The 13,756-nt window shown below is 41.8% G+C and overlaps 2 protein-coding genes and 1 pseudogene across 2 annotated transcripts, besides 5 other annotated features; 2 read left to right on the forward strand and 1 right to left on the reverse strand.

Moving 5' to 3' along the window:
• Positions 142 to 201: an enhancer, noted in NCBI's record as "active region_24181". NCBI's record gives its function as "activates an Ori minimal core promoter by ATAC-STARR-seq in GM12878 lymphoblastoid cells {active_cell/tissue: GM12878}" and the evidence as "EXISTENCE:reporter gene assay evidence [ECO:0000049][PMID:35858748]".
• Positions 242 to 291: an enhancer, noted in NCBI's record as "active region_24182". NCBI's record gives its function as "activates an Ori minimal core promoter by ATAC-STARR-seq in GM12878 lymphoblastoid cells {active_cell/tissue: GM12878}" and the evidence as "EXISTENCE:reporter gene assay evidence [ECO:0000049][PMID:35858748]".
• Positions 622 to 681: an enhancer, noted in NCBI's record as "active region_24183". NCBI's record gives its function as "activates an Ori minimal core promoter by ATAC-STARR-seq in GM12878 lymphoblastoid cells {active_cell/tissue: GM12878}" and the evidence as "EXISTENCE:reporter gene assay evidence [ECO:0000049][PMID:35858748]".
• On the reverse strand, positions 9,373 to 9,859 carry H2BC3 (H2B clustered histone 3). Its single transcript, NM_021062.3, has one exon. The coding sequence runs from the start codon at positions 9,801 to 9,803 to the stop codon at positions 9,423 to 9,425; it is 381 nt and encodes a 126-aa protein (NP_066406.1). The 5' UTR covers positions 9,804 to 9,859; the 3' UTR covers positions 9,373 to 9,422.
• Positions 10,046 to 10,696, forward strand: H2AC5P (H2A clustered histone 5, pseudogene; annotated as a pseudogene).
• Positions 10,103 to 10,342: an enhancer, noted in NCBI's record as "active region_24184". NCBI's record gives its function as "activates an Ori minimal core promoter by ATAC-STARR-seq in GM12878 lymphoblastoid cells {active_cell/tissue: GM12878}" and the evidence as "EXISTENCE:reporter gene assay evidence [ECO:0000049][PMID:35858748]".
• On the forward strand, positions 11,530 to 12,015 carry H3C3 (H3 clustered histone 3). Its single transcript, NM_003531.3, has one exon. It carries the CDS (start codon positions 11,557 to 11,559, stop codon positions 11,965 to 11,967), a length of 411 nt encoding a protein of 136 aa, NP_003522.1. The 5' UTR covers positions 11,530 to 11,556; the 3' UTR covers positions 11,968 to 12,015.
• Positions 11,573 to 11,892: an enhancer, noted in NCBI's record as "active region_24185". NCBI's record gives its function as "activates an Ori minimal core promoter by ATAC-STARR-seq in GM12878 lymphoblastoid cells {active_cell/tissue: GM12878}" and the evidence as "EXISTENCE:reporter gene assay evidence [ECO:0000049][PMID:35858748]".
• Positions 12,016 to 13,756: the final 1,741 nt, after the last annotated feature.

Consider the following 13,756-nt stretch of genomic DNA (forward strand, 5'->3'; position numbering starts at 1 on the left):
TTTTAAGCATGAGTGGAGGTTTTGTTCTGGTTATTTTGACTTTCAGCCGCTCGTGCTTTTCCCGGATTGTGACTCATGTTTTTGGAAAGGAGTGGACTCCGACCAATTTCTAAATAGATATTTAAGAGGTCCTTCAAATCGGGCGCAGTGGCTCATGCCCGTAATACCAGCACTTTGGGAGGCCGAGGACGGCGGGTCAGGCGTTCGAGACCAGCGTGGACAACATGGAGAAACCCTGTCTCCAGTAAAATAACCAAAAAAGAAACGGGGGAGAAAAAGAAAAAAAAAAGCCGGGCTTGGTAGTGCACGCCTGTAGTTCCAGTTACTCGAGAAGCTGAGGTGGGAGGATCGCTTGAACCCGAGAGGAGGAGGTTGCAGTGAGTTCACATAGAGCCACCACACTCCAGCGTGGGCGACAGAGCCAGAAGACTGTGTCTCAAAGACAAAAAAAGGGGAGGGGGAGTGGGAGGGAAGAAAAGCGAATACCCCAAATCCCAGTGAACTGTAGAAGCTTATAAGCTCTCTTGATTCATAAGGGAGAAAGAAGGGGGATGTAGGCAACTTAGGGGAGAGTATATGATTTTGGAGAAAAATAAATGGGTGTTTCAAAGAATAGGTGACAGCTGTGACAAAGTCTGTTTAGATGGTGTTAACCACCAGTCTCCTCTCCTGTGATACAGTTAATCTTCTCTGGTTGATGAGATTCCCCAGGGAAGTGAATCTTAACAACTAAATTCCTTTTTGAATTTTTTTTTAATTTTCAAATTTTTGATTAGAGTTCAGCGAAAGCCCTTCCTTGAATTTACTGTTTCCTAGGTGCCCTCAGTTCAAAGAAATCAGCGTAACAAAGTGGCACATTTTTGAGTTGCATTTCCTGAACTTTTTCACAACACTGAATGAGGAGTCTCTGGAATCTTTCAGGAAATGAGAGAACAAACATTCCATAACACAGAAATACTCAAAATGGGATTATGATTATAAAAGTGTTTCACTGACCACCTTCTGCCTTCCTGTCTGTAAGTCCCATTCTCCCCAAAGTCTAGCCATAGAAACCAGAATTCCTCCTCAAGGTAGGCCATACAAACCAGAACTCCTTTTCCCTAGAACCAGCCATAAAACCTAAAAGTATTACTCTAACCTACCTTGTTTGCCTGTAGGTCATAAGACCCCCCATTCTAAAAGAGAGTCTTGTCCTATAACCAGAAGGAAGAAATGCTGCACTGAGAGGTCAAGAAGAATCTTGACAGACAAGCCTTGCGGGGCTTCCCCACTCAGTCTGTTAGCATTAGATCGTACCCTATACAGCTGTTTATCTTGTTGAACCTAAGCATAAAAATGGGCAATTTCCCCTGTATCTTTCAGTCTTAATTCTAAAATCTCCTGTAAAATTGTGATGAAATAAATATATATGCCTTTTCTCCAGTTAATCTGTGTTTTGCCAGTAATTTTCCATAAACCTTGGGAGGGCAAAGGGGAAGTTTTTCCTTGGCCGGGACAATATTATTACAGCCATTGTCTGGCTCTCCTGTTGAGGAACCTAAAATCAAGACAGATTGCCTAGGGAAATCTTGGTGTTTTTCCTTTTATATTCCATGAGATAGGAGCAGATGGAGTACAGATGAACGTGGATTAATTATTCCAGGAATTTCTGAGGTATCTACTACTTCTATCTGTGGTCTGCTTATACTGAAACAGGATGACAGAAGGAAAAAGAAACATGAGTGTAAAAAAATCTGCTCCTGGCTGGGCACGGTGGCTGATGCCTGTAATCCCAACACTTTGGGAGGCCAAGGCGGGCAGATCACTTGAGAACAGGAGTTCGTAACCAGCCTGGCCAACATGGTGAAACCCCAGTCTTCACTAAAAATACAAAAAATTAGCTGGGCGTGGTTGTGGGAGCCTGTAATCCCAGCTACTCCATAGGCTGAAGCAGGAGAATCGCTTGAACCCTGGAGACAGAGGTTGCAGTGAGCCGAGATCGTGCCACTGCACTCCAGCCTGGGCAAGAGCGAAACTCCATTTCAAAAAAAAAAAAAAAAAAAATCTGCTTCTAAGCCAACGCTGTCACAGAACTATGGATTTGATTCAGAGAAACTGTCAGGAGACTAAAAGTGCTCATTTTTAGTTTGTTTTTTGCCTTCTCCCAAGTCTTCTGACTCTAGTGTTATCTTTCCCTTCACAATATTCAACTTCCCTTTTCAAAATTATAATGATCTTCACCCTCAACAATAGCCGTAAACATCAGTAATCACTGGCTCATTTTCTTTGAAAAGGTACAAGATTCATGATGGAGATGTTAAAAAGTTATCTCAGATAGTGCCCTGAAGAGATTATACTCAGAGAAGGGAGGACTTACGTACATGAAGATTAAATAGCAGTGCACGTTCTGCATATAAAATAAAGATTTTGAGCAATAAATCATACAAAAGCACATGGAAAAGAAGATTGATCAATGTAAATTAGAAGGATTTAGAGAGTTCATGAGGGAGATGTATATCCAGCATTATTAGTTCAGCATATATTTACTGAAAACCTGCTAAGTGCCAGAGAGTGTTCTAGGTGCAGGGAGCATAGCAGTGAAAAAGCAGACAACCTGTTTCCTTACGGTGCTACTTGTCTTGTAGTGGGAGGTGCACAATAAGGTAAATACATAATGAAAATGTAGAGATAAGTGATGAGTGCTGTGGAGAAAAATAAAGAAAGGGGATAAGAAAAAAGAATAGAAATAAGGATGGAAAGTTTCATCAGGAGAATGTCATTTGAATTCAGACCTGAAGGCAAGGAAGAAGCCAGCCAAGTAGGAAGGATAAATACTTCGATAAAATGCTGGATGTGTTTGAAGTCCAGAAAATGTCAGGAACCGTGGTTCAGAAAGTACAGCTATTCTAACTTCCTAAACAAATCGTAGACCATTTTGGAAAGAGCCTTGGATATGTACAGGGCTAGATAAAATTGAAACCAAGATTAAGGGTAGCTTCAAAAACTCAGACTAGAAAGCAGGAGTACATCCAGTCACAATATCAGTAATCTATACTCCACTGAGCCATGGATGAGAAAAACTCTTCTTCTCATCCAAGTTACCTTGAATTAAGCAAACCAACAAGCGCCTGGCATGTACTATTAGCAAAACAACTTGATGGCAATCCTTTCAGTAAGTGCTTCAAAAACAGTAAATTCTAGGCACTTGCCTTCAAAAAACATACAAAAGGCAGATATTGGGGAGGGAAATATTGGGGGTTATTTATTCCATATAAATATAAGAGGAAAATAAGTTGTTTCCCAATAACAACTCCAACACCAGGAGCAGAGAAAGTAAGACAATCTATGCCTCGTGGTTTGCGAAAACAATAAAAAAAATCTGTTAATTGCATAATACAATTCACCCTTGAACACGCTCCAAATCAGTGCCCACTAGCTACAAGTAGCTACTGTGAAGTTGAAAAAGGGTACTTCAGATTGAGCTATTCTGTAAATATGAAATAGACTTAGTGTGTTAGTTCGTTCTTGCATTACTATAAGGGAATCCCTGAAACTGACTAATTTATAAAGAAAAGTAATTTTTTTTGGCTCACGGTTGTGCAGGCTGTACAGGAGGTGTGGTGCAGGCATCTGCTACTGGCAAGTCCTCAGGAAACTTCCAATCATGGTGGAAGGTGAAGAGGGAGTAGGCATATCATATGGTGAGAGCTGAGCGAGAGAGATGGGGGAGGTGTCACACTCTTTTAAAGAACCAGATCTCTTGTGAACTCAAAGTGAGAACCCATTGATTACCCTGAAGAGTGCGCTTCATGAGGGGTTCACCCTCACGATCCAAAAACCTTTCACCAGGCTTCACTTCCAACATTGGAGATTACATTTCAACATGAGATTTAGAGGGGACAAATATCCAAACCATATCACTTAGTATGAAGAAAGAATGTAAAACATCTGACTAATAATTATGCATATTGAATACATGTTATAATGACATTTTGACTACAAAAGTTAACGAAAATATACTATTGAAGATACTCAAAAATTTAAAAATACATATATAATTTGTAGTACATTTGTACTGGGCAGAGGAACCTCTAACAATGTTCCAAATGTGGCCTGTGTATGTGTATGATGTAGGAGGGATCAGTCATGTAAGATGATCATAATATAGTTACTTAGTCCATTTTGTGATACTATAACAGAATACCACAGACTGGCTAACTTTTAAAGAAAAGAAATTTATTTCCTACTGTTCTAGAACCTGGGAAGCTAAGGGCATGGAATTAGTATCTGGTGAGGGCCTTCTTACTGCATCATAACATGTTGAGAGAGCAAGGGTATGTGTGTCAGCTCAGGTGTCTCTTCCTTTTCTTATAAGGCCACCAGTCTAAAGGAAATCAAAATATTTTACCCCAAAATATATTTCTTTGACATATTTTGAAATGGCTGCTGCTTGGCCAGCAGGCAGAAATGGGCTTGCAAAGCTGCCTTAAATGGGAAAAATTTTACATCTGTAGAGAATCTCCATTAATGCAGCCATGCCTCCTCACCTTTCTATACCTTTCCCCAGATCCAGGAGAGACTGAGAGTCTGACACTTAAAAATCATAAAAGAAACATTTACCATCTGTTCTTTCTGAGGGAGGCTTCACCTACCTAACAAGGCCACCTTTGCAAGCCAAACCTCTTTTGCCTCCCATAACCTGTTTTACCAGAATCTAAGCCCCAATTCTTTCTGTGATCTAAAAATGGTATATAAGCATCTATAACTCATTGGGAAGTTAGGTAATTAATTCTGAATGCTCCCACATAGACACGTTAAACAATAGGTAAAATGCCTTTTCACCTATTAATCAATCTGCCTTGTCAGTGATTTCTGGCAAACATTTAGTGGGCCAAGAGACTATGGTTCCCACACTACCCTTCATGAACTTAAGCCCTAAGATATCAATAATTGCATTAAATGTGTGTGGTATAAATACACCCATAAAAAAACAGTTTGGCTGGGCGCGAGGTCTCACACCTGTAATCCCAGCACTTTGGTAGGCCGAGGCTGGCGGATCACTTGAGGTCAGGAGTTCGAGACCAGCCTGGGCAACATGGTGAATCCTGTCTCTACTAAAAATACAAAAATTAGCCGGGTGTGGTGGCGCATGGCTGCAATCCCAGCTGCTCAAGAGGCTGAGGCAGGAGAATCCCTTGAACCCAGGAGGCGGAGGTTGCAGTGAGCTGAGACTGTGCCACTGCACCCCAGCCTGGACAACAAGAGTGAAATTCCATCTCAAAAAAAAAAAAACAACAACTGTACACTGTCTGCAAGAATCTCACTTCAAATATAAACATAACGCAGGTTGAAATTAAAGGCTGCAAAAAAGATAAGCCATATAAACATCAGCCCAAAACTGCAAGAGTATCTGTATTAATAATATCTGGGATCTGAAAGACCAAAATAGATGCCCCTATACCAACTAAGACAGACTCTAAGATTAAGCAAACAAAGTTACCTACTGGTAGAGCATTCATGGCTTGGCTGGCATGGCAAATTCCTAAATTCCAAAGACTACCAAAAAACTCACACTTGCTAAATTCCTTAACTATAGGAGCTATCAGAAGCCCTCCTAACTCTGATTTACAGTCCAGTCCACTACAACTCTGATTGGACAGAGGACCGCCTTGACACACATTCTATTCTTACACGTAATTGTAGACCTTAAGCCATTTTCAGCCAGCTGCTAGAGGCAGCACGTAAACTTTGTTCCTATAGTTCACCTTGTGATGTAAAGACCTAAATTCTACCTCATTTTAACCAAAATTTAACCTCGAAGTGAACATGGGAGGTATATTACACGTGTTTATCCATTGTGAATGCACTTGGCACCCCTCATAATATATATAGCTGTCCCCCCAAACGTGCTAAATATGTATGACTCTATTGTGTAATATATAGCCTATGAGGCATAAAAATAACCAACCTGCTCCTTCTCCCCAAAGAGAGAGTAATTTTGGCAGGTTCTGGGACCATCTCTTCCTGGCTTGCAAATTAGTATTGCCAGTAAATCTCTCCTTTCTACTCTTTAGCCATCCTGGTGGTCTTTTGGATGATATATCAGATAAGTATATTTCAGAGCAAAGAAAATTACTAGGAACAGACAGGGATATTACATAATGATAACAGGGTCAATCCAATACGAAAAACAAGCAATTCTAAATGTATATGCACCAAATAACAGAACTGCAAAATATGTGTAGCAAAACCTGATAGAACCGAAAGGAGAAATAGACACATACATGATTTAAAGGTAGAGATTTCAACACCCCTTCCCCAATAATTGATAGAACAACGAAACAAAAAAATTACCAGGTGTATAGAACTCAGTAAGTGACTGTATTACTTGTTTTGATCTGTAAAACAATGATAATAATAGTACTCACACTTCATTGAGTTTTGGTGAAGATTGAATGAATTTATACTTATAAAGAATTTAGAAATGTGGCCGGGCCCAGTGGCTCATACCTGTAATCCCAGCACTTTGGGAGGCCGAGGCGGGTGGATCACCTGAGGTCGGCAGTTCGAGACCAGTCTGACCAACATGGAGAAACCTCATCTCTAATAAAAATACAAAATTAGCCAGGCGTGGTGGCGCTTGCCAGTAGTCCCAATTACTGGGGAGGCTGAGGCAGGAGAATTGCTTGAACCCTGGAGGCGGAGGTTGCGGTGAGCCGAGATCGCACCATTGCACTCCAGCCTGGGCAACAAGTGTGAAACTCCGTCTCAAAAAAAAAAAAAAAAAAAATCTTAGAAATGTAACTGACATATCATAAGCCCTCAAACTTAATAATCTTTTAATACATGGAGCTATCTATTTAAAATAATGTACATAAGGCAACATCCCAAAAGAAAATGGGCAAGAATCATGAGTAATCAAACCATAATAGAAGAAATGTTATTATCAAAATGTGCAGTCTCAAACAATAATTGTCTTAAAAATAAAAACAACAATGAGATTTAATTGTTCATGTCGGCAATTTGAACAGACTAACACACCCACTGTTCAAGAGCATTTGTGGAAGTCAGGAAAAAACACCCTGTTGGTGAGAGTGTAAACAGACCTTCAGGAGGCAACTTGGTAACATGTATTAAAAATCAAAATATGTATATCAATGGATGCATGATTCCTATCTCTATTTTTGCCCTTACAGCAATCTTGTGTGTAGAGAAATACTGAAAAGCATTTTCATGGTAACATGGTTTAAATTTTTAAAAAGCGAAGGTCAGTGAATAAAGGGCAATTATCTACTTCCCTACAATGAAATGCAGTAATGAAAATAATCATTAGAATCTCTTTTATTAATTTAAAAGGATACTAGAAAAGTGAAATACAATCTCACTTATAGAAGATTTACATATTGGTTTGCATAGACTTGCACAAGATAAAATTTCTGTAAGATTGGTCACCAAAATGTCCTGAATGATAACATTACAATTAATGTTTATATTGTAGGGGAAAAGAAAATTCTGTTTTTCTCACCCATCAGTAAGTTCATGCTTGAGGCCCCTCTACAAAAAGACAGATTGGTCGGGTGCAGTGGCTCACGTCTGTAATCCGAGCACTTTGGCAGGACGAGGCGGGCGGATCACGAGGTAAGGAGATTGAGAACATCCTGGCCAACACGGTGAAACCCTGTCTCTACTAAAAATACAAAAATTAGCGGGGCATGGTGGCACGTATCTGTGGTCCCAGCTACTCGGGAGGGCGAGGCAGTAGAATCGCTTGAACCTGGGAAGCGGAGGTTGCAGTGAGCCGAGATCGCGCCATTGCACTCCAGCCTGGGTGACAGAGCAAGGCTCAGTCTCAAAAAACAAAAAAAAAGATTAGCAAGAGAAAAGCATACAAATGTATTTAATATAAGTTTTATATTACATGGGACCCTTCGGAAATGAAAACTCGAGGGAAGCGGGAAACCTGTGAATTTTTATGGCAAGTTTTGTGAAATGCATAGTTGTGGATTAATATGATTGACAGTAGGCATATGATCTAATGGTAATAAACTGAGGGGGACATAGCAAGGCTTGTTTGTTAATTACCTATTAACGATCAGCCGAGTATCAGCAGAGACAGCAAAACATCCTAGTTTTGAGTTAGAAGACCTAGGTTTTTGTTTTGGCTTATCAATTATGGGTATTGTTTTAGATGAAACATCAAGTATTCTTGATTTCTTATTTCAAAAATAAAAAATAAAAAATAAAGGAAGGAAAAAAGAAGAAAAAAAGAGAAGAAAAGTGTCAGAGTTACTTGAACCAGAGTAACTCCATTTTGAGTGAGGGCTAGGAAAATGAGGCTGAGACTTTCTGGGCTGCATTCCCAGAAAGTCAGTCATTCCTAGCTTCTAGATGTTTACGGTTAAGGGAACAAATAAATAATGTTTACTAAACAGACTCAGACTTAGGAGTGTCCAGATATCCCTATATCTGGAGAACAAAGGCATTCTTAATTTTGTTTAAAGATAATAATGTTGATTCTTGCAAAATATAGTAACTAAGAAAATTAATCCTTTATCACAAACTTGTAGCAGAGCACATCTCCCCATATATACAAGTATTGTACCTAGGGTGGATGCCTTCCTCCTCTTACTTTCGGGAATGTCCTGCTCCGTCTATGGAGTAGTTGTCGTTTCACCACTTTACTTTCTTAGTAAACTTGCATTTACTTTGCACTGCGGACTCACCCTGAACTCTTTCTTGCGCGGGATCCAAGAACCCTCTCTTGGGGTCTGGATGGGGACCTCTTTCCTGTAACATATTTCTGGCCACCACAGAAGGGACTATAGTACAGAAACCCTGACCCAACAGCTACCTTTGGGTAAGTGTTGGAGTTCTGTAACAAAGGAAGAAGGCAGGCAGGCAAAAAATTTATGAAAGAACATACGACAAAATAATTTCTGCTTCAAAACTTCATATTTTTTTAATTTTTTTTTTTTTTTTTTTTTGAGACGGAGTCTCGCTCTGTCACCCAGGCTGGAGTGCCATGGCGCGATCTCGGCTCACTGCAAGCTCCGCCTCCCGCGTTCACGCCATTCTCCTGCCTCAGCCTCCCGAGTAGCTGGGACTACAGGCGCCCACCATCACGCCCAGCTAATTATTTTGTATTTTTAGTAGAGACGGGGTTTCATCGTGTTAAGCAGGATGGTCTCCATCTCCTGACCTCGTGATCCGCCCGCCTCGGCCTCCCAAATTGCCGGGATTAAAGGCAAGAGGCACCGCGCACGGCCCCGTCCAAGTTAACCTTGGCTCTAAAACTTGTCTTCGCTAACATTCCAGTTGATCCTCTAGAACTGAAACAGAATAGCAGCAGCACCACCTTAAGAAATTGTGGTTATAGCTCTCCTTGTGACAAAGTAGGTGGCTCTGAAAAGAGCCTTTGGGTTTGGAAGTGCTTACATAAGCACTTATTTAGAGCTAGTGTACTTGGTAACTGCCTTAGTGCCCTCGGACACAGCATGCTTAGCCAGCTCCCCAGGCAGCAGCAGGCGCACAGCCGTCTGAATCTCCCTGGAGGTGATGGTCGAGCGCTTATTGTAGTGAGCCAGGCGAGAAGCCTCGCCCGCGATGCGCTCGAAGATGTCGTTGACGAAGGAATTCATGATCCCCATGGCCTTGGATGAGATGCCGGTGTCGGGGTGGACCTGCTTCAGAACCTTGTACACATAGATAGAATAGCTCTCCTTGCGGCTGCGCTTACGCTTCTTACCATCCTTCTTCTGCGCCTTAGTGATAGCCTTCTTAGAACCCTTTTTAGGGGCTGGAGCAGACTTAGAGGGTTCAGGCATTGCTATTCCTAAACAGAATAGAAAAGCTACTAACACTCTCCACTACAGAGTAGTACAGAGAACAGTTCAGAGCCCATGTATTTATAGTCCTGAGATTCAAATGACGGTTTAAGATTCCTCACTTCTGATTGGACAAAAGAAACACGGTTTCACTGAGGGGTGGGGTTTATGCAAATATGGAATTTATGTTATCTTTTTCTATTGGATAAAGCACCAAACATAATTGACCAATAGGATAGCTTCCTATTGCAGCCTTGCAGTTTGTATAAAAGGATTTGTTCAGGCGCCATTCCAGCTTGCTTGTCTTTCACAGTTTTCCGCTGCTTTCATAGGTCGCTATTTGCGGACGTGGAAAATGGAGCTAAAGCAAAAACTTGTTCGTCGCTACCGGGCTTGCAGTTCCCAATAGGGCAGAGTCCGTCATCTTTTTCGAAAGGGCAATTATTTTGAGCCGGTCGGAGCCGGTGCGCCAGTGTACTTACAATACCTGGCCGCCGAGATCTTAGAACTGGTGGGCAGCGCCATACGTGACAAGACCCGCAGCATCATCCCCCGCCACCTGCAGCTGGCCATCCGAAACGACGAGGAGGTCAACAAGCAGCTGGGCAACGTCACTATTGCTCAGGGAGGCGTCCTGTCCAATATTCAGGCCGTCCTGTTGCCAAAATAACAGAGCCACGATAAGGCCAAGGTCAAGTAAACACTCAAATCAGAAAACGTAGCTTACACTTGAAACGGCATTTTTCAGAGCCGTCCATAGTTACACAAGAAAGGATGATAACTTGCTTCTGTTAGGGTATTTTTTGCTTTTCGTTTGGATTGGTTTGTTTTGAGACAGTCTAGTTCTGTCACCCAGGCTGGAGTGCAGCGGCGCGATATCGGCTTACTGCAACCTCCACCCCGCCGCTTCACGCGGTTCTCATGCCTCAGCCTCCTGTGTACTTGGGATTACAGGCGTCTGCTACCGCGCCCAGCTAGTTTTTGTATTTTTATGCGAGACGGGGTTTCACCATTTTAGCCAGGGTTGTCTTGAACTCCTGGCCTCTAGTGATCGTCCCATCTCGCCCTCCCAAAATGCTGGGATTACAGGCGTGAGCCACCGCCCCCCTAGCCTAATGGTGTTAAAAAGTTAAGTTTCGAGAAAATAACACCTTCCTTTAGAAAGTACATTTTAGAGTATACAAAGTGAAACTTAAGGCCAACCAAAATAAGACATTTTGAGAACAGGCAGGGTGGGAATGTGACTTGGACTTAGAAAACAAAGGGCAAGGAAACTTGCTGTTCGCCAGTAACAAAATAGCATGGAATCTCATTCTCTGAATATAAGCGTTATTTCCCGACATGAGTCTGAACGTTTCTGGTGGTTTAGTGAGTGTTCACCAGCATTGATAACTTGCGAGACTGTCAGGAATGCAGAATTTCAAGTCCCACTCAAACTTACTGAATCGGAATTTACATTTTAAAAATCCTTAGATACCTTGTTATACACTCTGTTCTTTGGGACTGGATGAACTAGAATTTTAGACAATTTGTCGCTGCAGATAACTGAAACGAAAAGGACAGGATGGGCGGTGGGGCAACTCATCCAATAAGATTGTCTAGTAATGAACCAATCAGTCTGGTCACTCTTCAGCCAATGATTTTATCGCGCGGGACTTTTGAAATATTACAGGACCAATCAGAATGTTTCTCACTATATTTAAAGGCCACTTGCTCTCAGTTCACTACACTTTTGTGTGTGCTCTCATTGCAAATGGCTCGTACGAAGCAAACAGCTCGCAAGTCTACCGGCGGCAAAGCTCCGCGCAAGCAGCTTGCTACTAAAGCAGCCCGTAAGAGCGCTCCGGCCACCGGTGGCGTGAAGAAACCTCATCGCTACCGCCCGGGCACCGTGGCCTTGCGCGAAATCCGTCGCTACCAGAAGTCCACCGAGCTGCTGATCCGGAAGCTGCCGTTCCAGCGCCTGGTGCGAGAAATCGCCCAGGACTTCAAAACCGACCTGCGTTTCCAGAGCTCTGCGGTGATGGCGCTGCAGGAGGCTTGTGAGGCCTACCTGGTGGGACTCTTCGAAGACACCAATCTGTGCGCTATTCACGCTAAACGCGTCACCATCATGCCCAAAGATATCCAGCTGGCACGTCGCATCCGTGGGGAAAGGGCATAAGTCTGCCCGTTTCTTCCTCATTGAAAAGGCTCTTTTCAGAGCCACTCACAATTTCACTTAAAAACAGTTGTAACCCATTCGGTTGTCTATGTTAGTTTCCAGGAGATATAAAGGTGATAACTACACACAAGTTTTGTAACTGCAGACAAGTCTATCAGGCCTTTTCAACCGGTTTTACTGCGAGAAAACAAGCTGAGTTACTGTTTTGCCCTTGTTAAAAAATTCCTAGGGGTCTTTTTAGCATGTATATGTGTAAATACTTACATATTGAAAGGCTCCTGGGGACACCACCGTCACTCCTTTTAATCCACGTGACAATTTTAGTTCTGATGGCAGTATTATTAAAGCTATCATAAAGACAATGTGTGTGTAGTTACCTAAGTCCACAAAAACAATAGCTGACCCCAAAATTCAGTATTGGTTTTGGGCTGCTGGAGGTGGAGTCAGAGCTCAGGTGGAAGAAACTGGCCTCAGTACACACTGCCAAAAGTCCACTAAATAGATTTATGTAACAAGTACACAAGACTTGCGTATGACCATCCAAAGATTATGCGGTCATCCTTATCCAGGGAATTTGAGAATGAAGGGTGGCAACTGCAAAGCTCTTTTACCCATGTCCTCTTTTAATAAATATTTAAAAATATTCAAATGCTGATTTCATCCATTTTCTAAATATATTAGTATACTTAACTGATGGGGTAGATCAAGGTTTTCTGGGGATCAAACCTTTTACAACTTGTTAACTATTAAAAACTATAATGTAAAATTAAAAATGCAAAAGTACTGCAGACTGTAAATATAAATTTATAATGGGAAAATAAAATCAAATTCCAATTTTATAAAAGCTGACAAAACAACAGCCATCACAAAATTCAGAAAATAGCATATTTTATTAACTTCTGAATATGACACTACCAAGTATATTTTCCTGTAGTTTTGACTGAATACTCTGATTCCATCTTCAGATCGAAATTATTTTGTAATGTTGTCTATAGGTAATGGAAATAGAATTCAATCTTTCCTCCAGGGTGGCTGATGATAATATGTTTTCTTCATAACTTAGAAGTATTTCAGTTTCAAAACACATTATTGGTAATGTCAAGTAAGTTTTTAGGATTGTTTTCAAATTTGGAAAATCCTCTGTTAAGCTCCTTTCACATGTAAGTTGTAAACTTTGTAAGAATTCTTTCCAGACTAGCTTCTGGCTCTATACGTTTCTACTCTCCACTAGACACTCACTCTCAGTGCTGGGAATGTGTTTTGAATACTTAGATGTCATAACATTTTATCTAGACCTGCATCTTGCCAGGAATTTAGGTGAGTTATTCCAGTGAGCAGTAGGAACATTCCTTGAAGCCATTCTTTTTTTTTTTTTTTTGAGACGGAGTCTCGCTGTGTCTCCCAGGTTGGAGTGCAGTGGCGCAATCTCGGCTCACTGCAAGCTCCGCCTCCCAGGTTCATGCCATTCTCCTGCCTCAGCCTCCCAAGTAGCTGGGACTACAGGCGCCCGCCAACACGCCCGGCTAATTTTTTGTATTTTTAGTAGAAACGGGGTTTCACCGTGTTAGCCAAGATGGTCTCGATCTCCTGACCTCGTGATCCGCCCGTCTCGGCCTCCCAAAGTGCTAGGATTACAGGCGTGAGCCACCGCGCCCGGCCTCCTTGAAGCCATTCTTACGTCAGATTGGCTGGCAACGAATGAAGTACACATGATCACATATGCAAATCACGTAACTTATTATCCCCATACTAGATACATCTTCAACTAAACTTTCTCTTACTCAAATTC

The sequence above is a fragment of the Homo sapiens genome, chromosome 6 (assembly GCF_000001405.40).
Source record: "Homo sapiens chromosome 6, GRCh38.p14 Primary Assembly".
Taxonomy (NCBI): Eukaryota; Metazoa; Chordata; class Mammalia; order Primates; family Hominidae; genus Homo; species Homo sapiens.